Source organism: Homo sapiens, chromosome 1 (genome assembly GCF_000001405.40).
Source record: "Homo sapiens chromosome 1, GRCh38.p14 Primary Assembly".
NCBI classification, from domain to species: domain Eukaryota; kingdom Metazoa; phylum Chordata; class Mammalia; order Primates; family Hominidae; genus Homo; species Homo sapiens.
The window spans coordinates 183,262,133-183,289,622 of NC_000001.11; the positions used below are offsets into that span (position 1 = coordinate 183,262,133).

General features: G+C 48.0%; 1 protein-coding gene and 1 pseudogene across 2 annotated transcripts in view, besides 4 other annotated features; one reads left to right on the forward strand and one right to left on the reverse strand.

Moving 5' to 3' along the window:
- Nucleotides 1-27,490, reverse strand: part of NMNAT2 (nicotinamide nucleotide adenylyltransferase 2) — a 170,144-nt gene that overhangs the window by 13,896 nt on the left and 128,758 nt on the right. For both annotated transcript variants that reach the window (NM_015039.4, NM_170706.4), the window contains exons 5-8: nt 24,530-24,656; nt 22,578-22,658; nt 21,863-21,907; nt 16,421-16,497 (exon numbers count right to left, since the gene is read on the reverse strand). In NM_015039.4, the coding sequence (NP_055854.1) occupies nt 16,421-16,497; nt 21,863-21,907; nt 22,578-22,658; nt 24,530-24,656 (330 nt within the window). The remainder of the gene's footprint in view (nt 1-16,420; nt 16,498-21,862; nt 21,908-22,577; nt 22,659-24,529; nt 24,657-27,490) is intronic.
- Nucleotides 4,368-5,139, forward strand: RPS3AP8 (RPS3A pseudogene 8; annotated as a pseudogene).
- Nucleotides 16,506-17,317: an enhancer, noted in NCBI's record as "H3K27ac-H3K4me1 hESC enhancer chr1:183247773-183248584 (GRCh37/hg19 assembly coordinates)". NCBI's record gives its function as "activates a minimal SCP1, AML or CMV promoter by ChIP-STARR-seq in naive H9 embryonic stem cells {active_cell/tissue: H9 hESC(naive)}" and the evidence as "EXISTENCE:reporter gene assay evidence [ECO:0000049][PMID:30033119]".
- Nucleotides 17,318-18,128: an enhancer, noted in NCBI's record as "H3K27ac-H3K4me1 hESC enhancer chr1:183248585-183249395 (GRCh37/hg19 assembly coordinates)". NCBI's record gives its function as "activates a minimal SCP1, AML or CMV promoter by ChIP-STARR-seq in primed H9 embryonic stem cells {active_cell/tissue: H9 hESC(primed)}" and the evidence as "EXISTENCE:reporter gene assay evidence [ECO:0000049][PMID:30033119]".
- Nucleotides 19,441-19,490: a silencer, noted in NCBI's record as "silent region_1629". NCBI's record gives its function as "represses an Ori minimal core promoter by ATAC-STARR-seq in GM12878 lymphoblastoid cells {active_cell/tissue: GM12878}" and the evidence as "EXISTENCE:reporter gene assay evidence [ECO:0000049][PMID:35858748]".
- Nucleotides 19,701-19,760: an enhancer, noted in NCBI's record as "active region_2213". NCBI's record gives its function as "activates an Ori minimal core promoter by ATAC-STARR-seq in GM12878 lymphoblastoid cells {active_cell/tissue: GM12878}" and the evidence as "EXISTENCE:reporter gene assay evidence [ECO:0000049][PMID:35858748]".

Sequence of the window (27,490 nt, forward strand, 5' to 3'; positions counted from 1 at the left end):
GTTGCCCAGGCTGGTCTCAAACTCTGGGACCCAAGTGATCATCCCACCTCAGCCTCCCAAAGTGTTGAAATTACAGGTGTGAGCCATTGTACCTAGCCAAAACCTTCTTTTCGTTTAAAAGAAATAACATTTTTATTTTCTGACTGTAGATGTAATGCAAGCTTAGAGAATCCAGAAAAAAAAAAAAAAGAAATCAATCACAATCATACAATCCAGATAGTGACTGTGAATGGTCTAATGTATATCTGTAGTTTTTTCTCTCTGCAAATAGGTGTATATATCCACAATTGGATTAAATTATAAAATTAGTCATTTTACCTACCTTTTTTCATTAGCATTATATTTTGAGCATTTTCTTACATTGTTAAAAATTATTTGAAAACATAACCTTTAATAATCTGTATATTTTACACTATGTGTACAGTTACTTCTGATTTTTTGCAATTATACATAACACTTTAATGAAGATCTTTATACAAAAATCTTTTATCACATCTCTGATTATTTTCTTAGGATAAGAAATGATATAATTGGATAAAAGGATATAAACTGTACATAATTCAAGCTTTTGAGACATATCACCAAGTTGCTTTCTGGAAATTTGTGCCAACTTTTATTTTTAAAGAGCCTGAAAGTTACGGCATTTAATACTCCTGGGTCTACCCTGGGCATATTACTGTTTAGATCTTGCCAATTACGGATCCCAGATGGGGGAAGAGGGGAGGAGGTAGGTGGCTTCTAAGCAGCACAGTTCACTGAGCAAGACCTGCTTTGAGGGCAAGGAACCCAGGTTTTTTCCCATAATTCTCTAAACAAGTGGCACAAAAACAAATATACTGGGGCACGGTGGCCCCTTCTCTCCAGAGGATTTCTATACCAGCAGAATTCCATTTCTAAGCCTGATTTACTGGTTTTGTGTGTGTGTTTGTGTGTGCACATTCTGAATATTTCTGTCCACCTTTACCCTGCTTCTCCTACTGCTTACAACTGGACCTAAACTTGCAGCTGGAGCTCTGATGTCGCTGAAATAAAAAGTTGGCTGAAGGTGTCTTAGGAGGAATGTCGTAGAGAGAAGTTAAAAAGCTAGGTGTAGAATATTAGAGCCCCCATTGGATCATGTAATCTGGAAGATACAGAGCATTGCACAACACACTGCATCTATTGGTGGTGTTCAGATCAGGTAAACTGACACCAAATCTCTTGTCTTATAAACCAGAAATGGTAAGGAGAGTCAGGGCAGGGAGTTAGAGCCAGCTCCTTCTGCCATGGCATTTAGGATACTGCACTAGGACTCACTACTTAGATACTGGTTCTCAAACTTGGCTGCACATTAGAATCACCTGAGGGGCTTTAAACATTTCCAAAGCCCCGCTCACACCTAAGATCAATTAAACCAGAATCTCGGGCCAGGCGCAGTGGCTCACACCTGTAATCCCAGCACTTTGGGAGGCCAAGGCGGGTGGATCACGAGGTCAGGAGATCGAGACCACGGTGAAACCCTGTCTCTACTAAAAATACAAAAAAAATTAGCCGGGCGTGGTGGCAGGTGCCTGTAGTCCCAGCTACTTGGGAGGCTGAGGCCGGAGAATGGTGTGAACCTGAGGGGCGGAGCTTGCAGTGAGCTGAGATCGCGCCACTGCACTCCAGCCTGGGTGACAGAGCGAGACTCTGTCTCAAAAACAAAAACAAACAAACAAAACCCCAGAATTTTGTTTGAGGGGCTGGGACTCAGGCAGCAGTATTTCTTTAAATTCCCCAGATAATATCAATATGCAACAAAGTTGGCGAACCAGTGGTCTAAGTACTGAATTAAAGCTCCGGGGAAATTGGCAGAGAAAGAGATAGAAAAGAGAAGGGAGGAGAAGAGCAGAGGAAAGGAGAGAAAAGAAAGGAGGACAGGAGAGAAGAAAGAATCTATCCAAGCTGGTATCCATGGGGATTCCTAAGCTGCGTGGTTATGTAGATGTTTCAAGATAACCTAGTATAGATTGCATAATGTAGGATCTGCCTTCAAATTGATTCTGTAAACTTGATGAATGTTTCATATATGATGTTTGTAATAATGGGTCTATATAAAGTGAGCATTCTAATTTAAACCATGAAAATAATGGCTCAGAATAGCAGTCCTCATGGGGGAATCGCCCTGTGGGTGACATCAGTGCAGCTGCTGCTCTCCACTCAGTACCTAATGATCTGAGCACCCAATGAATAACTGTGCCAGGCTGTTCAGTGGGCGGCAAGCAGATGGAGGCCTTACTGCTTAAGATGTTTTCCTTTTCCAAAAACAGTGACAGACTTGTCCCTGGGAATCACAGATGGGTCGAGGGAGACAGGATCTATGAGACAAGATCTACAGCTTTAGGGCATCATGGCAGGGGTTCAGGCCAGAGACTGCAGATACTCTCTGCTCCTTTGGCCAGACACTGTTTTTGTAGCACCTGTTTGGAGAATTATGGGAGAAAATCTGGGTCCCTTGCCCCCAAAGCACGCCTTGCTCAATGAACTGCGCTGCTTAGAAACAATGTTCATGGTGGACGGTATTTGCGTGTGTGCATGTGTGTGTGGGTTCGGGAAGGGAAGGTACTAGGTGCTAGAGTTGGTGAGATGTGCCCTCAGTCCAACGAGTACCCATCTCCCTCCAAGAGCTTAGCTGTCCTTCCCACCTCAAGCCCCCATTGCCAGCCTTCACCAGGCCTCAGGACACTACCCTCTCCTGGTTGCCCTACCTCTCTGGCTGCTGGCTACTCCTTTCTGGGCCCCCGTGCTAATTCCTCCTTTTCTATCTGACCTTGAGCCACTGGATTCCCCCAAGCCTCAGTCCCTGGACGTTTTTTCTTTTCTATTCACACTCACACCCTTCATGATTTCATTCAATTTTGAAGTTTTAAAAGCACACTAAAGGCTTCCAAATTAATGTTTCCAGCATTAACTTCTCTCCTAACTGGAGGCTCATGTATCAGCTGCCTTCTCAATATGCCCACTTGGATAGGGCATCTCAAACTTAATATGTCCATGAGCTCCTGGACCTGCTAACATAAACAAATAGTTAAACCATCCACTCCCCTCAAAGAAATGGTTTTCCTATAACCTTTTCCATAAATAGAAATTCTCTTCTTCTTCTTCTTCTTTTTTTTTTTTTTTTTTTTTTTTTTTTGAGACAGAGTCTCACTGTTGCCCAGGCTGGAGTGCAGTGGCGCAATCTTGGCTCACTGCAACCTCCACCTCCTGGGTTCAAGTGATTCTCCTGCCTCAGTCTCCTAAGTAGCTGGGATTACAGGCATGCGCCACCATGCCCAGCTAATTTGTGTATTTTTAGTAGATACAGGGTTTCACCATGTTGGTTAGGCTGGTCTCAAACTCCTGACCTCATGATCCACCTCCCTCGGCCTCCCAAAGTGCTGGGATTACAGGTGTGAGCCACCATGCCCGGCAGAAATTCTCTTCTTATAATTGCTCAGACACAAAGCTTTGGTATTTTCCTTGATTCCTCTCTTTCTCTTATATCCCACATTCAGTCTATAAGTTAGTCCAATGGACTCTACCATCAAAACAAATCCAAGAATATGCTCATTTCTCATCATGTCTGTCCTTTCTATACTGGTCCAAGCCTCTTCTGTTAGGCTGAATAATGAACCCGAAAGATATCCAGGTTCTAATCTCTGGAACCTGTGAATATGGCAAAAGAGACTCTGCAGATATGATTAAACTAAGGATCTTGAGATTATCCTGGGTTATCTGGGCAGGCCCTAAATGCAGTAACAAGTACCCTTACAAGAGGCAGAGGGAGATTGGACCCAGAAGAGAGAAGATAATGGGAAGATGGAGTAGAAAGAGATTTGAAGATGCTCCACTGTGGAGCTTGAAGTTGGAGGAAGGGACCATTAACCAATGAATGCGACAAATGCAGCTCTAGAAGCTGGAAAAGTCAAGGAAACCAATTTTCCCCTAGATTCTCTGGAGTTGTTGGCCTTGCCAACAACTTGGTTTGGGCCCAATAAAACCTATTTCAGACTTCTGACTTCTGGGACTGTAAGAGAATACATATGTGTTATCCTAAGCCACCAAGTTTGCAGAACTAGGAAACTAGTTCACCTCTGTCATCTCTCATTTGGATTGCTCTGGTCTCCCTGTTATTTGCTTGCCTTTTTTAGTCTATTCCCAATAGCCAGACTGATTATGTTAAAATATAAGCCAAATTATGTTGCTCCTTGGCTCAAAATCTTTCACTTAAATGTCACCTTCTTGGTGAGATCCTGTCTGGCCACCCTAATTAAACCTGCATCCCTTGTGCGCTCCCACCCCTTAAGCCTAAATTCTCACCAGAGTTGCACTTTCACCCTTTTGGTTCTCTAAGCAGCACTAAGGTGGTTGGCAAGAATAGTCGCTTTACAAAAGGTGGCAAAAAGGGAGCCAAGAAGTGAGTGCTTGATTCGTTTTATAAGACTGGTATGATGTAAAAACACCAGCTATATGTTCCATATAAGAAATAACGGAAAAACACCAGTCCCAAGGATGCAAGAAACCAAAATTGCATGGGGTTGTGATAGCCTTAAGGGTTGTGCATTTGAAGTGAGTCTTGCTAATCTGCAGAAGGCTGAAGTTGCATTTAGAAAATTCAAGCTAATTACTGAAGATCTCCAGGGCAAAAACTGCCTGACTCACTTCCATGGCCTGGATCTTACCCATGACAAAATGCGTTCTATTGTCAAAAAAAATGGCAGACCATGATTGAAGCTCAGGCTGATGTGAAGACTACCAATGGCTATTTGCTTCATCTATTCTGCGTTGGTTTTACTAAAAAGAGGCAACAATCGGATATGGAAGACCTCTTAGGCTCAGCACCAACAGGTCTGCCAAATCTAGGAGAAGATGATGGTAATCATGACGGGGTAGGGGGCAGAGGAGTTGTTGTAGACAAATGATTTGAAAGAAGTGGTCAATAAATTGATCCCAGACAGCATTGGAAAACAGAAAAGGCTTGCCAATCTGTCCTGTCCGCGATGTTTTCACTAACATCGTGGGATAGGGATGGGGAGAGGATGTGGTGAAGGTAGTGGCTCTGGAAAAACCACTGGGGGAGAGACAGGGGCTAAAGTTGAACAAGCTGGTGGATAAAAGCCACTGGACCAAGACTCTGTAAAAATTCAGACTTTTAAGGGTGACAAATAAAAAGTATTATTTGTGAAAAATAAAAGAAAATAAACAACAACAACAAACATATTCCCCAGACCTCACCTGAGAAATTTTGATATAGCATGTGTCGAGGGGCTGCAGCCTCTCTCTTAACAAAGCTCCCTAATCCTTCTGATGTGCACCCACCTTTGGGAATTGTTGCTTTAAATCACATGGACAATTACCTAAGCTGCTAATATTCTGGCTTGTTTAGGGTGGGGTCAAAATGAGATACTTGTGGGACAGGTACCTCAGCACCTCTGAGAAGTCCAGCAAGAATAAGGACATTCCCCCTGTGCCCTGGGGAGTGGGGGGGTGTAAGGGCAGACATCTGACCCCAGGAAGCATAGGGCACTCAGATCCCCTTCCTATGCCGCCTGCAGGAGTGTGCCCAGGCCTCTGGAACTGAACTATTTTTCTGCTCGAGGGGACCAGCACCTCCTGTCTTCATGAAGAGCTCTCTATGGGTCTTGCCCTTGGGGGTGGAGAGGTGGGGTGGGCGAGTGGCCAATGCGGTAGAACTGTCCTGATTGGTAAATCTCATTCGTGATGGTGGCCAATGTGACCCCACACCATGGGCAGGATCAGGACACAATCTTCTCCCCCTGCAGCATACAGTGGCCCTCAGTTTAGCACTGGCATATGTCGAGCCTCAGAGGTGGGGGTCTGTGACATTTATCCTGCTTCTACTTCCTGCTCACAGGCACAGCTTTGATCATATCTTTTCATCTTCTGGTCAAAGGCTCCCCAGGGGAGGTAGGGATAGGGATGGGGAGAGGATGTGGGAGGGGGTAGACTCTGCTTCCCCAAATGTGGGGAATCTGAGGGAAGGATATGAGACATGTTGAGGCAGGAAGCAACTTGGCCTTGGAAGAGAAAACACTCATGATCCAGGCAGCAGAGCTCTTGGAAGGAACGTAGAGTTTGCATCATCCCTCCAAGAGGCTGAATTTCAGCCTCTTGCCCTGCCTTGCTGGATTTAAAGGGATGCTTTGAGTGGGTGGATGACTTGTGGTCTTAGCCAGGCACTTTCCTAGACACTAGGCATGCAGGGTTGAGCAAGGCAGATATGGATTCATCTCTTGGACAGATCACTCTCTAGTGTGAGACATTAAACAAATGATTATTTTCAATTGTATCTACTGCTGTGAAGATATGAGTAGGTTACTACCGGGTGGCTAATATCTTACAGTGACTAATATATTATGGGTAACTGGCAAAAGTTTGGGTCATATCCCATGGGGGAGGCAAACTGTCTTATGAGCTGAACTCCTCCAACCAAGTTGTTCTCAAGCACCCTTTCACTCAACAAACTTTTATTGAGCATGTATATGGTGAACTGGGCACTGTTCTGGTATTGGCAAATAAGACAGGCAAGTTTCCTGTACTCAAAGGGCTTACCTTCAAGTAAGGAGAGATCATAAACAAATAAATATATAAATAAGAAAACATCATGGCAAGGTGTGATGTCTCACACCTGTAATCCCAGCACTTTAAGAGGCCAAGGTGGGAGGATCACTTGAGGCCAGGAGTTCCAGACCAGCCTGGGCAACATGGTGGTAAGACCTCATCTCTACAAAAACAAATTTTATTTTAAATTAGCTGAGTGTGTTGGCACGTGCCTGAGTCCCAGCTACTTGTGAGGATGAGGCAAGAGGATCGCTTGACCCCAGGATGATTGCTTGAGTCTAGAAGTTCAAGGCTGCAGTGAGCTATGATCACGCCACTGCACGCTAGCCTGGGTGATAGAGTGTGACCCTGTCTCTGAAAAATAAATAAATAAAAAGAAAACATCAAATAGAGTTAAGTACAATATTGATTATAAAACAAAATGACCTTTATGTTGAAACCTACGTGATACGAAGGGATGGGCACAGGGATATCTAGGAGAAGAGGATTCCCAATGAGGCCACAGCTAGTACAAAGACCCTGAGGTGGGGAAAACTGTTTAAATAAACTAGGCGGGACTAGGACACACTGCGGTTGGAAAAGTAGACAAGTACCAGGTCATCATGAAGACAGGGTTTCATTCCAATTGCAAAGAAATGCCATTAGAGTATTTTAAACACAGGACTTGAAACTTCCATCGGCAACAGGATCCAATGTATGTGGATTTGCCCTGGCAGGCTTAACTGGCAAGATCCTCTGCAGGGCCATCCTGAGATCAGCGTTCTGAAGCCTGAGTTTCCCTCCCAAACAGTGTTCTCTTCTCAGGTACAGTACATCAGCGACTGCAGCCCATTTGTGTTTCTTCTCTGGATAAGGATAGTCAGGGATGCACATGGGCCCATTGGGAAGGAGGGGAAGAAACATTGATTAAGGTGCCTGCTATGTGCCATGCACAGTACTAGGAGCTTATCGCATTTAATCCTTATGACAACTGTCTTCTGAGATATGTGCCTCAGTTCTTATTTCATAGGTGGGGAAACCAAGACTCAGTGAGATTTAATAACCTGTCCAAGTTGCACAGCTAACGAGTGAATGTGAATGGAATCCACCGTGGTCTGCCTTAAAGACTCTTTCCTCCACATCACACCTCTTCTAGATCCACTTTTAAGACTCATATTGTAGTGACTTGAAACTTTTTTTTTTTATTTGAGACAGAGTCTCGCTCTGTAGCCCAGGCTGGAGTGCAGTGGCGCCATCTCAGCTCACTGCAAGCTCCGCCTCCCGGGTTCACGCCATTCTCCTGCCTCAGCCTCCCAAGTAGCTGGGACTACAGGCACCCGCAACCACGCCCGGCTAATTTTTTTGTATTTTTAGTAGAGACGGGGTTTCACTGTGTTAGCCAGGATAGTCTCGATCTCCTGACCTCGTGATCCACCCATCTCGGCCTCCCAAAGTTCTGGGATTACAGTAGTGAGCCACTGCACCTGGCCTTGAAACTTTTTTGGTTAAAGAAGTATTTCTAGTTGAAAATACATTCTACCTTATTTTTTCCCCCAGCTTACCATAGCTACTTGGGAGGCTGGGGTACTCTGTATCACCCTTAGAGTATTATAATTTTAGTATACTTCTGGATGAGTTTAAAAAGATGCAAAGAGAGAACTTGTGACAAAAGCCATGCAGTATATGAGCAGCTTCTGAAACATGCTCCCTCCATTTCAGTAAAGGATCCTCCACCCTTGCTGTAGCCCCTGCCACTCTCTGGAGGAAAGGCTGGGAGGAAACCAGTAAGGTCAGAGTCCAGCAGGTGGAAATGCATTTCCAGGATGGCCCTCTTAATGAAAAAAAAAAAAAGAGAGAGAACCATTCTTAAGAGGGGCTTCCCAGATGAAATCATCCCCACTCCCACTGCCAACTTAACTGGGGGTGTGGGAAGGCAGGGGATTCCAGACTCAAGTCAACAGCCTGGAAACCAAACCAACAGTGCCTTTCACATGAGAACAGCCAGAATCCCCCATTGGCAGGAGCTGAGCCTCCTTCCCCTGAGACTGTAATTTGGTATCGTTTGGTATCAGTCGTATCAGTGTGGGGGCCTAATCCCTGGGGTGCAAGAGTCCATCAGGCTTCCTGGCTGGAGCTGGACTGTCTGATAAAAACCATCTGAGCCTGAATAGCCAAAGTTTGTCTTTGTTCCATTTATCCTGGGGCCCTGGGATTTCTTCTGGAGTGGCTAATGCCCGAGGCTCTTCCTCTGTTTATTTTCTTTGGTTGTTTTCCCATAGCTGATGGATGTAGGAAGCAGTTAGCCCACGGCTGGTTGGCTGGAAAAATGTAGGATACAGCCAATTAGAACCAGCCTGTGGAATGCTGGGCTTTGAGGAGCGCAAAAAGAAAAAAAGATAAAACAATTCCCTCAGTGGCCATCTCTGGTGGCTGATGTTCCATCCCCAAGTTTTTACTCTTTTGGGTTAAATATTGACTCTTGCTCATTTGAAATGCAAATACTCTTGAGAGCAGCTAATACATGTAATCATTAAACTTAATGATTTTGCTGCTTGCTCAAAAGTTAATACCTTCCCAAATAAATACCAGGATCCACCTATTTCAACCAACCAGAACCATCTCCCCAAAGGTCTTGTTCCCCCCACCGAATCTTTTATATCCTCTTCCCTCCTTAAAAAGCTCTTCTCTTTCCACCTACTTAACCCAGTCCTGCTCACAATTCAAAGCCCAGCTCAAGGGCCACCCCCTCCCACAGAAAGCAAAGTGCACGGTCAGGTACTTTGTCTACTTTGTTTTCTCACATGGCTGGGTGCTCAATAAATATTTTAAAATAAGTGAATAACGGCCAACATTTATGGAATGTTTACTAGGTTCAGGAACTCTTCTAAACTTTTCACATGTTATAGTTAATATAGTATAAAGAAATATTATAATGAAAAGTAAGATACTTTTAGACTGCAAGTGCCTCAAGGATAAATACATGCTACGTTTATCCTGGGCACTTAATAAGCATTTGTTGAAAGATTGATTGAAGAAAGGAATGCTTGAATCAGAATTATTTTTTTCTTTTTTTTTTGAGATGGTGTTTCACTCTTGTCACCCAGGTTGGAGTGCAGTGGCGCTCTCTCGGCTCCCTGCAACCTGCACCTCCCGGGTTCAAGCAATTCTCCTGCCTCAGCCTCCTGAGTAGCTGGGATTACAGGAGCCTGCCACCACGCCTAGGTAATTTTTGTATTTGTAGTAGAGATGGGGTTTCACCATGTTGGCCAGGCTGGTTTTGAACTCCTGACCTTAGGTGATCCACCTGCCTCAGCTTCCCAAAATGCTGGGATTGCAAGCATGAGCCACCACACCTGGCCTTGAATCAGAATTAATTTGCCTGCTGGGCACAGTGATGGACAAAGCAGCTGGCAGCATCGGATCCCTACACAACGGGTTTTGTTTTGGGGAGAGGAGTGAGTGCAAATGCCTTCTGCTTCACAAATCTGCCCATGGTTGACCCTGTAGCCTCTGGCCTTGGCTTCCCACAGTCCCTGATCCATGCCTGGATGCCTGCATTGATGCTGGTGTCAGGATGCAGCAAAGCAAAGGAGCAGGTCTCCTGGGAGAGACTAGTTCTCCAATAAAGAACTCGGGAATGCAGTGGGGTGGCAGGAGCTGGGTTCTGATCTCCGAGGCTGGTCCAGAAGTCTGGATCTTGATTTCCCATACAGCCACTCTGTTCTATTACACTTGAGAGAAACTCGATGACTATGTATGGAATTTTTTCTCCATGGAATGTAAGGGGAAGGGTGTGTCACTGGTCAGAGAGGGTCAGAATTTGCTGTGGGCTAATGGATCTTTGTGCCTAATGGGAAATGCCACAAGGGATGTGTTTGGGGTGGGGATGGGGTCATCCCATTAGTCATATAATTAGATTTCTGGATGGAGAGCTTTGGTTCAAGAATCCAAAGTGAAAGAAAGAGCAAAACTGACTCAGTAGAGAGTGTGTGTTGGTGCTGGAGGAGGCCTTGTCAGTCCTGCTGTCCAACAGACGGTCTCAGCCGGTTCCAGCCTGGCTGGAGGCCGGGCTGCTCCACAGCCCCTTCAGGCTTTCTCCCCAGACCCATTTGAACCAGTGGCATCCCTCCTGCCTTGTTTCTGAAGATATTTGGAGAAGATATGAGAGGCTGGAGTGCGGGGCCGGGGCCTAGGACATTTCCTAGAAAAAGCTTTGATCTCCCTCCTGCCCTTCTGTCCCCAGTCATGGGCAGTGTTAAATCAAGTTTAGCCTAAAGCTGCCTCCCTGCATATTTTAAGTTCGGCCTAAAGATTTCTCTGTGTACATGGTGAACTATAACAAGTGGAGGTGTAAACAGGCTTTAGCTTACATTTGTGCCAATTACCAAGTTTTGGCCAATCAATGTAGCCAGCTGTTCGAACTGTGTTCAAATAAGACTGTTTCTGTACTTCACTTCCATTTTCTGTACATCACCTTCCTTTTTCTGTCCATAAAACTTCTACCACATGGCTGCGCTGGAGTCTGAGAGCCTACTCTGGCATGGGATGCCGCCTGATTCGTGAATTGTTCATTGCTCAATTAAACTCTTTTAAATGTAATTCAGCTGAAGTTATTCTTTTAACAGCAGATTTCAGGGTTTTGGCCTCATGGTCTCCAAGCAAAGTCTGTGGTCAACAAGTATCACTCGGGGCACCCGATAATAAAGAGAAATGTGCTCTGAGAAAGGGATGAATGAATGGGCAAACGAATGAAACCTGAAACAGAAGCAGGTCTCACATATCTCGCTTCCAGGAGTCTCATGGTTAGGAACTGAAATTCCTAAAATGGGCGTTTCCAGGCAAACCCCAGATGGTAGAACTTGCTAGTACAATAAGCAGGGCTCATTCTGTATCCACTCCTGAAAGATGTTCCTTTTCCAGACCTTGAGATCCAACCTTCCCCAAATAAGAGCAGTGGACTAATTCACTGAGGTGCTAAGTAATTTTGTGCTGCCTACACCCTCCTCTGCCAGCTCTATTTTTCTTTCTTTCTCTTTCTTTCTTTCTTTTTCTCTCTTTTTTCCCTCCCTTCCTTCCTTCCTCTTTCTTTCTTTCTTCCTCTCTCTCTTTCTCTCTTTCTTTCCTTTCTTTTCCCTCCCTCCCTCCCTCCCTTCCTTCCTTCCTTCCTTCCTTCCTTCCTTCCTTCCTTCCTTCCTTCCTTCCTTCCCTTCCTCCCTCCCTCCCTTCTTTCTTGCTTTTTTGCTTTTTGGAGTCTTGTCACTCAGGCTAGAGTGCAGTGGCACAATCTTGGCTCACTGCAACCTCTATCTCCTGGGTTCATGCAATTCCCCTGCCTCAGCCACCGGAGTAGCTGGGATTACAGGCATGCACCACCACGCCTGGGTGATTTTTGTACTTTTAGTAGAGATGGGGTTTTACCATGTTGGCCAGGCTTGTCTCAAACTCCTGACCTCAAGTGATCCACCCACTTCAGACTCCCAAAGCACTGGGATTACAGGTGTGAGCCACTGCGCCTGGCTGGCCAGCTCTATTTCTAGCAGACAGCCAGATCTTTTACAGGAGGAATTTGCAGGACAAAACCAGAATGCTCTGAAGTCAATAACTTTATTTATTTATTTGTTATTTATTTATTTATTTAGACAGAATCTTGCTCTGTCACCCAGGCTGGAGTGCAATGGCACGATCTCTGCTCACTGCAATCTCTGCCTCCCGGGTTCAAGCGATTCTCCTGTCTTAGCCTCCCAAGTAGCTGGGATTACAGGTGCCCGCCACCATGCCCGGCTAATTTTTTGTATTTTTAGTAGAGATGGGGTTTCACCATGTTGCCCAGGGTGGTCTCGAACTCTTGACCTCAGGTGATCCACCTGCCTCAGCCTCCCAAAGTGCTGGGATTACAGGCGTGAGTCACCACGCCTGGCCTGAAGTCAATGCCTTTAAACTCATTGAAGAAATTTTGAACCTAGTGCAGTGGCTCAGGTTTGTAATCCTAGCACTTTGGGAGGCGGAGGTGGGAGGATCATTTGGGCTCAGGAGTTCGAGACCAGCCTGGGCAACATAGTGAGACCTTGTCTCTAAAAAAAAAAAAAAGAAAAAAAAGACATTTCATTAGATGTCCTGAAGCGGGGAGAGAAAATAGGGAAGATGACTTGGGGATAGAAAGAACAAAGAACAGGTTCTGCTGCCCTCCCACCAACTTTCCCTACAATAGGAAGATGCTAGAGGTCTGTGGAGCCCACTCCTCCTCTCTCCTGGGCAGCACACTAGGGGCAAAACCTCAGAGGAGAACGGGCCTGGTGATCACAATGGGGCCCAGCACGAGGCCTCCAGACTCAGCCAGGAGTTCCTGCCCCAGGTGGGTGTGGAGCAGGGCACCTTTGACTTCAAGGGACCACAAAGGCTTGGACAGGGAAGATGTCTGTGGTGACCATGGTGAACTGAGATTGAAGTCCTGTCCTCATGTTCGGGGTGTGCAAGAGCCTTTCAGGTCTGCTAATTAATAATGGCTGAGACTAAAATTACCCTGTGGGATAGGGATTTGGAGTGGAATGTTAATTTGATTTAAATACATTAACATGATATTTCCGGCACACCTCTGTCATAGACTGAGATTCACACTCATTATGTGAGGAAACAGCTTCTTGAAATTTTTCCCTGTCTCAGACTCAATGATTCTAAGGACCTCGCAGATCAGCTGTGGGTTGAGGCAGGGGACTGAGCAGTTGGCTGGCAGGGTGGGGAAGCAGGTCTGCTCCAGGCTCTAGAAAGCCCTCTGAAGCAAGCTTGGGAGTCTGCTTCACCCAAATCCTTCTGCTGCCTCTGCAGGGGACTGGATTTCTCACCACCCTGGGCAAACTAGATGTGGGGTCCCTGCTGGCCTGGGACGTGGTACTCTCTGAGCATAGCTAGGATGGGTGTCCTGGGACTCCAGGATGGCTAACCCAGGACTGAGGGAGATCCCAGGATATGAGCATTTCCGTATTTTATTTATTTTATTTTTTAGACAGAGTCTTGCTCTGTCACCCAGGCTGGAGTGCAATGGCGTGATCTCAGCTCACTGCAATCTCTGCCTCCCAGGTTCAAGCAATTCTCCTGCCTCAGCCTCCCAAGTAGCTGGGACTACAGGAGCCCGCCACCACGCCCAGCTAATTTTTTGTATTTTTAGTAGAGACAGGGTTTCACCGTGTTAGCCAGGATGGTCTTGATCTCCTGACCTCGTGATCCATCTGCCTCGGCCTCCCAAAGTGCTGGGATTACAGGTGTAATACGCACCCAGCCTAGTATTTCAGTTTTAAAACCGGGTAAGTCTTGCAGAAACGGGGACTAGTTGGTCACCTGATCTTGCTATTGGTTCATTATCTCACCCGTCCCTGGCTTCCAGGGGATGTTCCAAAGTCATCCATCTCAGATGGGGATTGGAAATGGGATAGGAGAATCCCTCCCCTTTTTCCACAACCACCCAGATGGGACAGAAATTCTATGATCTCCCTGGGGAATCCAGAAAGGGAAGAGGGTTGGGGCTGGGACTTGCCAAGTAGTCAAGTGGGAACATATTTGACCCAGTGAGTTCACTCCACCTCTGCTGTCACATCCCTGGTAAATCAACAGCTACTAGTTTCTCAGATTTTCTGTCTTAACCAACCAACCCTGGTCTCAGCACCAGGGACCAATCAGAAAAGGAGAGACCTGGGGCTCTTCTCCCTGGTCCTATAATGTTGGTATCTGACAACACCAAGACCAGCCATTTTGGAGAGAAGTTAGAGGACCGGTGATCTAAGTCAGCAATCTAACTGGGAGGAGAAGAGAGGGATTGGCCTGCAGCAAGGCCCCAAATTGTGTAAGTTTCACGCTCCAGGAAGCCTGGGTCTGCCCTTGAGAGGAGGCTCCTCACCCATCACACTTAGTAAATAGCCCCCAGGGATTCCTCCTCCACAGCACTCCAGGCTGTGCCACAGCTGCTGACCTCGTCCCTCTAAATTCCTCCAGGACGGCCCAGGCCTCCGCAATAAAATGGGGCCTCCGGCAATTGCCCAGATTTGCCTGGATTCTTGAAAGAGCTTTGATGAGCTCTTGTACAGAACTTTGCCCGCATTACTTTTGACTTTCATAGCTCCTTGTGAATTAGCCAGGAAAGCAAAAGCTAATTAAGCCACTTAATTAAGAACTGAAAGGAGGTTTAAAATTTCACCTCTAGGAAATGGTTCCAGGGTGGAGAGGACTGTATATTTCACACAGTATACCTTACTTCCCGGAAACTTTCCCTCCCATCTTGGTTATCCTACAGCATGTTAGCATTTATGCCCTTCACCTTACATAGCTTTGTGTGTATCTGTGTGTGTATTTAGGTAAATTCACTTATTATCTTTGCTGAGCGTGACTGTATGTCAGGTGCTGGGGCTAGGCACTTTCAAAACAATACCATTTAAGCCTTCCAAACCCATGGGACGTAGGTACTATTATTAGGCTCATTTCAGGGATGGAAAAAACTGAAGCTTAGAATATATTTTGTTGGAAGAGAATAGTGCCTCACGCCTGTAATCCCAGCACTTTGGGAGGCTGAGGCAGGCAGATCACCTGAGGTCAGGGGTTCGAGACCAGCCTGGTCAACATGGCAAAATTCTGTCTCTACTAAAAATACAAAAATTAGCTGGGCGTGGTGGCAGGTGCCTGTAATTCCAGGTGCCTGGGAGGCTGAGGCAGAAGAATCGCTTGAACCTGGGAGGCAGAGGTTGCAGTGACTCTTGAACCTGGAAGGCAGAGGTTGCAGTGAGCCGAGATCACACCACTGCACTCCAGCCTGGGTGACAGAGTGACTCCGTCTCAAAAAAAAAAAAAAAAAAAAAAAAGGAATATATATTTTGTCATGAGCTGTGTTGGAGTAGAACTTGAATCTTGAGCCTGACCCTGTCCTGCCCCTGTCCTGCCTCTGTCCTGCCTCGATCTCTGTCCAGAGACACATAAATGTACACGAACATATTTCATATGTGTATGTCATGCCACCTATTACTTGGGGGCAAAGATTGTATAGTACAACGTTTCTTTAAAATCTCAGAATCCTGTAGATAACATTCTATAGATTTTACAGATTAAAAACAAACAAACAAACAAAAAAACTGAGGCAGGTCCAGAGTCACACAGCAAGTTAATCAAAAAGCACTACATCTAGAATTGCTGCCTTGGGAATTCAATGTGCATAGAGCTATGGGGTTGGGAGCTAGCATTAGCTCAGGCTACCAGATGAATGAATTAATGAAGGAATAAGAACGAACGTATGTGTGAAGAGTGAGTAATTTAAGGGTGAGCTGGTTTGAGATCATCACAGTCAGATCTGGCAACAAAAGGTGTCATTGAGCTCCTAAGTGGTGTAAGTTTAACCTCCTGGTTCCCTCAATGCCAAGTCAATTGCCAAGGATCCTGCTGACCTCTTGCCATGAACTTCTCCCCTCTGGACCAATTTTCTCTTTTTGAGGGGATTCCAGGATGGTATTTACCACCTCTTCAAAAGGAATCAAAGGAAAACAAAACACACAATAATCTTAAAAGGGCAAAGATTTTTTTTTCTCCCTTCCTTCTCCCCATCGGCAACACATGCATACCCCAGCACTATTTGGTGCTAGATACTGTATGACTCAGCTTGCTTTTTTCCCAGGGGCTTTACTGGAGCAAGCTTGAGGAGGAGTAAGTGTAAAAATGCAGTAGGAGATAAAGCTTGGGGGTAGGTGAGAATTTTCTACCATAGTGATGTGAACGGACTGCCCTCTTAGAAGCTCAGAAGAAGTGAAGACAGGAGGCCAAAATCAAATGCACACTTCCCATCCCTCCCAGTCCCAGCTGGGTGCCAGGCAATAACCTTGCTACTCACATCTGCCTCGTTCCAGAGCCCTGGGATGCAGAAGGACTCCAGCAGGTCACTACCACACAGCAGCAGGATCCGTAGCTCTGAGGAAGGGGAGCAAAGTTTGCAAAGGGAGTAAGTGGTGGCCCGGGAAGCATTTGACCCTCAGCCTTCTTCCCCTGGTGAATACATAACTCTCCCACCTTTGGGGATGTGGGGCCCAGTTATCCCAGGTGCCTCTGCCCCTGAGTGTGTGCAGAGCAGAAACCCCTGCTCACCTCTTCCTCGGGCTCATTTCCAGACCACCCTCATCCCCTGTGGGAGGAATTACTCATGCAAGGAGAGTAGAGCATAGCGGGTGATCGACTGCCCTGGCTTTCCCAGGACATAGATCTTTCAGGGCTAAGCCAGGATGGTTCATTATTGTAACTGTGGCTGAGCCAGCTACGCATCTTGTCTAAGGTCTGAGGTACTCTCTCTTGCTCCCTGTCAAGCTCAAACGCCAACAGAGTTTGGATTCTCTGCTACTGTGCATTGTCTGGAGTTTGTCTCCCTGACATGGGAGGGGGTGTGAGGGGACAGTGAGTGTACCTTGAGGTAGCTGAGTGTATAAAATGTGTCACATGGCCACTGTCCCCAGCAAAGGGCTTGAGAAGCAAGGCTGAGGCCCCTCCCAGTGCCCATACTTTTCCTGGCACCCAGGCGCACTTCCTGCTTGTCAGTTGTTTTTCTTCCCTCATTAAGCTCACTCTGAATTATCCCAGTGAGGCCCATTGTTGTTTAAAACAGGCAGCAAACTGACTCACTTATTAAAACTGAGCAGTGGGGAACAACATTCTGAGAATACCGTGAGGAGAGTCCTCACCCAGGATGTGGCTCAGGGTGGAGCACAGCGTGGCTCCCAGGCGTTCCAGGCCCTCTCATCAAGAGGCCGAGGCTGTTGGGCATCTTGTCTGAAACAGTGAGGCAGGTCTGCACTGAGGGCACCACCAGCCTTCCAGAGACAGCTGCCAGCACAGGCCCTGGGGCCCTGAGGCCCAGGCGAGAGACAGAGAAGCTGCGGGCAGCCCTGCCTGCCTTAGACCCTGTGGCTAGTTCTGGGACCTGACGAAGGCTTTCAGGTGGTAAGCTGTCCCCTGCTGTGGAATGAGTCTCTAGGTGGGACTCCTGAAGCAGGGGGGAGGCTACTGGGCCAATGGTGGGCAATGCCAGCATCTCATGGTCCCAGGGTCAGGGCAGCCTTCCCACGTAAGGGAGCCCCACTGAGGACTGGATTGTAACTATGAAATATTCCTGCATCCTGTCTTCTCTCCTCTCTAACATACCTTAGTCTAATGATCTGTTTGTGTGCAGGGATTTTCCTTTATCTTTACAGCCCCAGGGTCTGGCAGAGTCACTGGCATACAGTAGGTGCTCAGGCATGTTGAATGGGTAAGGCAACAGATGAGCTGACAACAGAGATCCTGCAGGCTGCCTTCCGGGCAATCTGGGAGGGCTGTGGTGACTATCGTGGCCTCTGCTCTTGCAGCATGGGGTCACTGGGGAGAATGTTTGCCTGAGTCAGTGGCGCCTCTGCGTTGCGCCATAGGATTTCTGGCCCAACTCCCCAACTGTGGAGAGGAACCACACTTGGTATTGCTGACAGGAGCCAGACTAGGCTTATTTCTCGGATTCTGTTGTTCCTCAGGCCCACTTGGAGCCACCCAGGGTTCTAGGTCAGTTCTCTGTTGAAAGGGCACGTCTCTGTAATTCTGACTGCCTATAAGTTCAGTTAGATCAAGCTTGTCCAACCCAAGGCACATAGGCCACATGTGGCCCAGGGTGGCTTTGAATGCAGTCTAACATAAATTCGTAAACTTCCTTTTTTTTTTCTTTTTTTGGAGATAGAATCTCCCTCTGTCACCCAAGCTGGAGTGCAGTGACACGATCTTGGCTCACTGCAACCTCCGCCTTTCAGGTTCAAGCAATTCTCTTGCCTCAGCCTCCCAAGTAGCTGGGATTACAGGTGCCTGCCACCACACCTGGCTAATTTTTGTATTTTTAGTAGAGAGGGGGTTTCACCATGTTGGCCAGGCAGTTCTCAAACTCCTGACCTCAAGTGATCTGCCCACCGTGGCCTCCCAAAGTGCTGGAATTACAGGCATGAGCCACTACACTCGGCATGTAAACTTTCTTAAAACATTATGAGATTTTTTTTTGGCGACTTTTTTTCTTTTTTTTTGCTCATCAGCTATTGTTAGTGTTAGTGTATTTTTTTTTTTTTTTTTTTTTTTTTTGAGATGGAGTTTCGCTCTTGTTGCCCAGGCTGGAGTGCAATGGCGTGATCTCCGGCTCACCGCAACCTCCGCCTCCTGGGTTCAAGCAATTCTCCTGCCTCAGCCTCCTGAGCAGCTGGGATTACAGACATGTGCCACCACACCCGGCTAATTTTGTATTTTTAGTAGAGATGGGGTTTCTCCATGTTGGTCAGGGTGGTCTTGAACTCCCAACCTCAGGTGACCCGCCAGCCTCGGCCTCCCAAAGTGCTGGGATTATAGGCTTGAGTCACCGCGCCCAGCCTAGTGTTAGTGTATTTTATGTGTGGTCCAAGATAATTCTTCCTCTTCCAATGTTGCCCAGGGAAGCCAAAAGATTGGACAGCCCTGAATTAGATGGTCATGTCAACAGGGAATGTGCTGGCCCTCAGCTTTCTCTCATCACTGGTTCTCAACTGAGGGCAATTTTGCAATTGCCAGGGGACATTGGGCAATGTCTGGACATTTTTGGATGTCAGGACTGGAGGGAGAGGGTGGCATGCTACTGGCATCTAGTGGGTGGAGGCTAGGAGTGCTGCTAAACATCCTACAATGCACAGGGAAGCCCCCCTCCCCAACACATCTGTTCCCAAATGTCAATTAGTGCCAAGGTTAAAAATCCCTGCTTACAGCCATGAAAATAAATCTCTTTCCTATTCCCAAGCCAGGGACACACTATCCCAACCAAATATAATATGGGACTTTTATGTTTTAAGCCAAAGCACAAAGAGTTCAAGAGTACGGTCTCTGCCACCCTTTCTTGCAGGACCAGTGCAAACATTTAAGTCAGACAAGCGGCCCCAGCAGGGCTTGAGATCCCACATATGGCCACTGGAGGGCAGCAGTGACTTCTCCCAGTTTGTCCTATGAGGCTAAGGCAAGTTTCCAGCCCAACAGCCTGTGGTCTAGGGCAGCCCTGGAGGAGCAGTCAGCTGTTAGGAGCATGTAAATAGGGTCAACAGACGCTAATGGAGCTAGGAGAAAATGGCTTTTCCTCCTCATTTAGTGTGGAAGGAAATATTAAAAAAGGGGACACGTGAGCCCCAGCGCCTCACACAGCGCAGGAGTCGGGAGGCAGCGAGCTCCCTTCCAGCTCCTCTGGGCTAGCCTCCTTCCCCAGGTCACGCTGATCCAGGGCCACGAGCCAGAATGCACACTCTCTGTCCACACTCCCCTCCCAGGAATCCGGGCTATGTGAAGCCCGGGCCCTGCAGCCCATCCCAGTTTCCACTGCATGCAGCCACCACCTGGACCATGCCAGGACCTGAGCCCAATCTGACAGCTGTGGCTGCTGAGCTGTCCTTTCTCGGAACCTAAGTGTTCTCCATTCTCTACCCCACACTGTCCTTTCTCCATCACATGCAGGTAGACCCTCCCTCTCAGCGAGCACAGGGGATGTGGAAGGGGACAGGCAGAGCCTCAGGGAAGCCAGAGGTGAGAGGTCACTCCCCAGCAGCATTTTTGGTCCCTGGCGGCTGGCTCACCATAACTCCAGAACTGCTATGGAGCAAGAAGAGTAAGCAGAGGCCCCTGCCCCTCCCGAGGTAGCCGTGAGCTAATGGAAGTGAACACAGCAGTACGCTGTGCAATACTGATCACCACTGTCCTCTCCTGGAGGGGACTCCTTGAGTCAGGATGAGGAGTGCCTGATCCACCTGCCCCAGGCGCTAGGAAGGCAAGCAAGGCCATGGCTCAAGCTTGCCACAATACATCTCTGGACTAAGGAAAGAGAAATACACTGGAATACAATGAGAAGTCCTAAGGCTGAGCTCTGCTGGCCAAGGAGACTGCGTGGGAAGGCAGCAGGTGGTGACCAGGCTGGAACTGCAGGGAAGTGGAGTGCAGGAGCTTTCAGCCCAGCCCAGGCACCTTCCCTCCCATCCTTGCCTGTTGGGTGTTCTGGGTCTGGAGAACCTAGAGCCAAATGCTCCTGCCTGTTTTGGGGAGCAACCAGGAAGGCGGGTGCTCCTTCCTGTGGCCTTCAGAGAGTGACTTGCTGGTCAATAAAGGATATTAAAATTAGTAAAATAATCAAGAAGTGAGGAGTTTTGAGTATTCATTCCTTTTGTTTTTAATTAAATTTAATTTTAAGTTAATATAACTTAATTTTTAGTAATGGCTCTATTTAAAACTGGTTCACAAAATTCCTGAAAACTTTACAAATGGTTGTAGGAAACCACCTGAGCCAATTCAGGGACACCACTGCACCTCAGATGAGAGGATGAGACCCAGAGAAGCCCCTTGAAATGACATCACATCTGCCGGGTCTGTGTGAACCAAGTGCTCAGGACAAACCCTGCCTCTCAGGATTGCAGTGGGAGCCCTGACTTCCAGTCCTTGGACAGAAAAGTACCAGGAAGGGATGCTTGGAGGATCTTTTCAGCTGGAAGTTGAAGATTGAGGGTGTGGACACCAGGCTGCCTTGCCCTAGAGCTCCAGGCATTCCTGATGTCACTGACCCTTCTTGTCCCCTGGTACCTGTGCCAGCTCCAGCTCTATTCTGGTGTCTCCCTGCCCTTTCCCCAGCTTCAGACACCTGCGTCTCCCACCATTCTGAAACCCTGGGAAGATTTCAGTGTTCCTATCTGCTTCTCAATTTGCTTGTAGGGGTCATCAACTTCTTCCCACCCTGACAGCTGTGTAACCGCCCTCCACCGGCTCGGGCCTGCCCTGGCCTGCTCTGGTATTGGGTTGGGCAGGCAGCCCTCACACAGACAGTGAAGTGCCTTAGCCTCTGCCCAAGGCTGCAAGGGAGGTGTGGAGGTGGCTTTCAGTCCCCTCTCTGTTTCTTCATCTACAAGCACTGAATGAGGAAGGCCGGGGTGCTCTTCTGCCTCATTTGTGTGCAGTGTCTGTGCCCAAAAGAAGGGTCTTTCCAGCTGGTGCCAAAGCTCAACTTTCATGTTTTTTAGAGGAGGGAGTGGAGGCTCTGAAGGAAAAATCACCAAATGATCCAGTCCTATCTCTTGGGAGTTGGCTGGAGTCCAGTTAAGAGATGTTAAAGGGAGCTAACTACGAATGCAATCTTAGCCTGGGAACGATCCCTCTTCCGAGAGGAGACCCTGCTGCAAAACAGTCCCTGGGTTTTCAAGCCTCTCTGCTCCCCATGTTGCCTGTCGTGAAGGCAGGGAGCTCCAAATGTCCCCATTTTCCGCACTTTCGCAGTCCCACTCACCAATCTCTTCATACCGCATCACCGTGCCCAGATTGGCATTCTCATCTAAGGAGGAAAGAAGGAAGGTAGGGCATTAGGGAACAGGCTTCCTGGTACCCAACACACAGTCTGCCTGAGGGCCTCAGCAGGAATTATTGGGATGGGGTGGGGTGGGTGCAAGTAGGGGTGTGGTGTGCCACCTGAGGAGGGTGAATGGAGAGCAGTCAGGCATAAAACGGACAGGAAGCTTTCCTCCCGCTCCAGGAGCAGCACTTCACATTGCTGGGACTTTCAGAATGAGACAGCCTGGCTGGGGAGCCAATGCCGAACACACACACGCTCATGCTGAGCGCCTTCTGTTTCTGTGTTTGAGGGAGGCTGGCCACAAGAGCAACATCCTTACAACCTAGGGAGATGGCTTTCTGGGCCACAAGAGGTGGCTGGCTCTCCTTAGGGATTACCTGGTTTAAAGAACAAGCACACTGTGGGTGCAGAACTTTTTCACATGGTGGAATGTAGCAAGTGCCTGCAGGAAGATGTGAAAGACTGAGTCTTCGATGTGCCCTTGTGTGTGCAACGCCTGTGTGGGGGGATACGTTGTGCACAAGTACGCACACACACACAATCACGGGAATTTGCGGTGGGGGGAATGTGCTTGAGGATCTTTGCTGAAGGAATGAAGGGAGGAGAGAAAGAAAAGAGACAGGACTGGGAATCAAGTTCCTTGGTTCCTCACCTACAAAGGTGAAACGCTCCACCGGCGGGCGGACACAGCAGATCCGGCTGAGGCTTTCTCCCACCTTCCCCAAGATCTTGGCTATGGGAGAGAGCAAGACAGACAGGGACAGAGTGGGAGAGAACAACTCACAACTGGCACTCATGTCGGCCCGGCATTGGGGCCGCTGTAAACATCAGGGTGCATGGACGGGGCAGGAGTGGGGAGCAGGAGGTAGCAGGAGGGTAGAGAGAAAGAACAGAAATATGACAGCACAAATTCCTTCTTCTCACTCACAGTCTGAGGCACACGCATTGTGAGCCCTAGACTGGAAGCCATTTTCTGGTTATGTTTATTTCATTGTTGAAAACTTGGAAAATATAGAAGAGGGAAAATATAAAGAGGAAAACTTAATGCACCCATAATCCCACCCCAAGAGATAACTCCTGCCAACCTGTTGGCATGTCATTTATTTTCTTTCATGTTTTAAATGTGTATTATGCAGGTATGTCTACATAAAGTGGATCAGATTTTCCATTTAAAGGGCATATAGGCTGCTGGCTTCTTTCATTTTCTATATCATGAACATTTCTTCCCCAGGTTTGTCCCAAGCCTATCCTTAGCTGCTCCTCCCACTGGGCAGCTACACCCACATCCAAGGAGATTCAGCAAAGTACATGCTTGGAACCATTTCTGCTGGGCTAAGGCGCTCCTTCCCATGCAGATGGTCTTCAGAATCATCAGACATCCTATTTGGCTGAGAGGGATCTGGTTTTCAATTATCCCTCTGGGCTCCAATCCAGAAAAATTTTCTGAGCCCCCCACATGTAGCTGTATGCAAACTGTGAAATTCTGACTCTTCTTTGTGAATTACCCTGTTTATAATAGACCAATAATATAATAGCTTATGGTCTCCAGGCTTGAAAAGTAATATCAGAATCTGTCTCTTGGAGTTGGCTTGAAGAAAATTTTAGAGCATGGACCTGGGAGCCTGACAGTACTGAATATGAATTCTAGCTCTTCTACTTTTGAGCTGTGTGACAAATCAGCAAATCACTTTTCTTCTCTGAATCTGTATTCTATTTGAAATGAGAACATAATGTCTATATCACAGTATTACTGCATTAAATAAGAACGCAGGTAAAGCACGAGCATCATTTGGGCACATAGTCCTAGGTTTGGGGTATGTGTTGGTGCTCTCTGTCACTGGATTGATGGCTAAGAGTGTGGGGATTCTGGGTGCGGACCGCCTGGGTGTGACTCATGGCCCTGCTTCTTGCTCACTGTGTGACCTTTGGCAAGATCCTCAACCTCCCTAGAAGAGGCAGAGAAAAATGCTCCATTTTGTATATTCAATTCCCAGTTAACACAATTATTTCTCAAAATTTATGTATTTTTTTGAGACAGGGTCTCACTCTGTCTCCCAGGCTGGAGTACAGTGGCACAGTCCCCCAGTCCCTGCAACCTCCTCCTCCTGGGCTCAAGAGATCCTCCCACCTCAGCCTTCTGAGTAGCTGGGACTACAGGTGTGTGCCACCATGCCCAGTTAATTTTTGTTATTGTTATTATTATTATTATTATTTGGTACAGGTGGGGTTTCGTCATGTTGCCCAGGCTACTCTCAAACTCCTGGGCTCAAGCCATCCACCCACCTCAGCCTCCCAAAGTGCTGGGATTACAGGCGTGAGCCACCAGGCCCGGCCCTACGTTTATATTTAAATGCAGGAGAAGAGTGCACACCACCACCTGCCTCTCTCTGATTGTGACTGGTTTGCTCTTATGCTCAGTATTCAGGGTCCTCAAAGTATTGTCTCTGGACTAGCAGCATCAGCAGCACCTTATTAAAAATACAAGTCCTCTTTCCCCTCTCAGACCTACTGAATCAAGTTCTGGGTGGATCCCAGTAGTCATTAATTTAACAAGCCCTCCACATGATTCTGAGGTCTGAGAATCACACATCAGTGTTCCCCTACCTGCAGTGGGCTTGGTGGCCACGTTGCTGTTCTGGTAAATGGGCTGGGGGGTCTCGTTTTGTGGCTGTCCGATCACAGGTGTCATGGAAGGTGTGTTGACATTGGAGAGGATGCAGCCAGTCACCCTCTAGGGAGAGAGAGAAGAGTGTTATTAGTCATGTGACTTTGAGAATCGTTTCAAAGTTATCTCCAAGTGGTCATCTGCTTGTCCATCATGGAGAGGCCACCCAGAGCTGAGGAAGAGCCCTGGGGATGGGTTCTAGACCCAGCTGCATCATGTGGTCACTAGGCTGGCAGGAGCAGCTCAGTGGGAGAAGCATGAGATGTGGTGTTATAATGGGTCCTGGGTCCAAATTTGGGCTCTGCCTCCTTCTAGCTATGTGACCTTGGACAGTTATTTCATCGCTCCTGAACCTCAAATCAGGAGTCTAACCATATATCTGTCTTTTTCAGTTGTGGTCGGGTCACACAAGCGAGCATATGCAAAGTGCCTATGGGGTGCCTGACCCATGGCAGGAGCTCTGTCAGCAGCAGGCGATGCTGGAACCTTCTGTGTAACATGAATATCTGCCCTCCCCAAATGCTTCATGGGGCTCAAATGAGATCATGTCTGCAAAAGGGCTCTGTAAGCTTGGGAAAGGTCATACAAACACAAGGCACGATCACCACCTGCGGCCTCTTTGGGCCAGAGCTGTCAGTAACACAGCCAAGCAAGAGGGAGAGTGGTGCCAGGCAGCACAGGATGTGTTTGTGCTGCGGGAAGCAGGGTGGGTGGGTTCTGAGCACTCTCTCGCCTGCTCAGTGTGAATACACATGACAGAGCCAAGTGGAAATTCTGTGTGTATTATCTATTGTCCTGAGTTATCTGCCAGGCTACTCCTCACCAGTGCTGCAGAAAACACAGAGCTGATAAGGCAGCATTCCTCACAGCTGACCCAGAAGCAATCCCACTGGGCCAAGGTGATGGGGAGAGTAGCTGTTGGGCAACAGAGAAACAAAGGACAAATTCCCAATCTGTTTAGGTTCACAGGGGCCACTGCTTATTCAAGGTTTCTTCGTTTCCAAAAGCCAGCTGCCTGGGTACCCACCACCCACTCCTGCACGCTACCCTTTCTGGATTTGGGTTCTGCTGCCAGGGGACCCCCAGGCCCAAGGCTGGGGTGATCTTCTGGGCACCTCTTCCACAGGCCATCTTGTGGGCAGAGCAGTGTATGAGTCCTTCTGAGCCCTAGAAGGGCAGCATTTGTCTTGTGGGGTAACCTGTCACCTTTGTAAGACTCCTGATAGGAGGAGGTCACATCTGACCACATCTGGGAGCCAGCTGGGGTGGGTACCACGGGATCTTTTCACCTCTTGGTGGGATTCTTCACCCAGCTGTGGCTGGTGGGGTGGGAGGGATGGTCTGCCTCCATTTATTACTTCACCACCAGAAAAGAAAACCCTGCATTTCTATTTCCTGATTGGCCTGGTAGCTGAGGAGCTTCTTCCTCTTGCTGCACTGTGGGTCGCATTTGACTTGTTCTATCTCTGAGAAGTAGAAAATGGCTGGCTGCATTCCCCGATCCTGCCCTCGTCAGCCCCCATGGGCTCCTGCATTCTCAGAGGCCTTGATATTGGAGAGTTGTCCCAAGTCACCTGTTAAGTCATGCATCTATCTCTGCGGCAGGTCTACTCTCCATGCAGGGAACACCTGCCTCATGCTTGCTAGGTGTTTGAAGGCTGAGAGTTCTTAGGAAGCAGCTCCAAGCTCTTGCTCCAAGACAGGGGGGCCGGCAGTGACCTACATTCTTTGCCAGCTTCTGCCCATCGCTGCAACAGCTGGGGTTCCTGGCAGAGCTTCTCTGGCCCAGACTTATACCCTGGGCATAAGTAACACAGGGAGAGTTCAGGAAGCCCGGGCATTTAGACATCAAATGATAGCCAGGCTTTCTGGCCAGTATGGCCAGCACTGAGGAATGCCTGCAGGGTCCCCTTTCCTCTCTTCTGTCATGGAGCCTGAGGCTTCTGTGTGACCAGAAAGAGCACAGGACTGCAGGAACTCCCCAGGTGACATGTAGTGTGAGAAATAAACTTGTGTGAAGTCACTGAGCTTTTAGGGATGTTTGTCACCACAGCACGTCTTTGCCTATCCTGACTGATACAGTCTTACACAGTGTCTTTTATTACTGCTATTGTGGAGACCAGCACAGAGGAGCAAGTCAGTGTGGCCCCAAGTCAGCCTCCTTTGAAGGGGACCAGAAGGGTCAGGATATGTGAGAAGGGTTCTGAAAGCTGAAGGGAAGGGAAATCAGTTTTCTTCAATTCCGTGGGGAAGAAAACAACAGATGGAGAACAGCCAGCTGGTCCTCTCTACCTCACTTGCCCTTAGCTCCCCAGGACGGAGCAATGAAGCGCCACATCTGTTAAAATAAAGCCTGGCTTTGCAGCTGGTGGAGTGTGGGGTGGTCAGGGGCTGCTCCCCAGGAAGAACGTGGTGACAGGCCCTCTGGCAGCAAGGACACAGATGGGACATGGGCTCTCCCTGTAGGAGGGCAGTGCCAGGTGGACTGCTATCTGGGGCTGCGGAGGGCTCTGCTGCAGAGTCCGTGGAGGCGAGCAGAATTGACTGTTTGCTGTCTTGGTTGGTCAGGCTTCTCGCCATCGGTGGCATTGCTTTTCATCCTGTCACTGTGGAGTGGATGGGTTGGCACTGATCTGGGAAGGGTGCTTTCTGCACACTCTGGCCAGTGCTGCTGGCTGGTATGGAGCCCATTCTAACCTGGCAACCAGCCCTGAAGTCTCTGCAGCCCGGCCACAGGCCCCAGGCCCCAATGGGGAATACAGAAGCTCTCGCCTATCTGTGTTCACCAAACACTCACTGTGTGTGCTCAGATATGTGGACTCCTCTCTGTGATCCCTTTTACCCACTAATAAAACAGGCATCAGACACCATCTGCCTGTGGGGCTCTTGTGAGGAGGAAT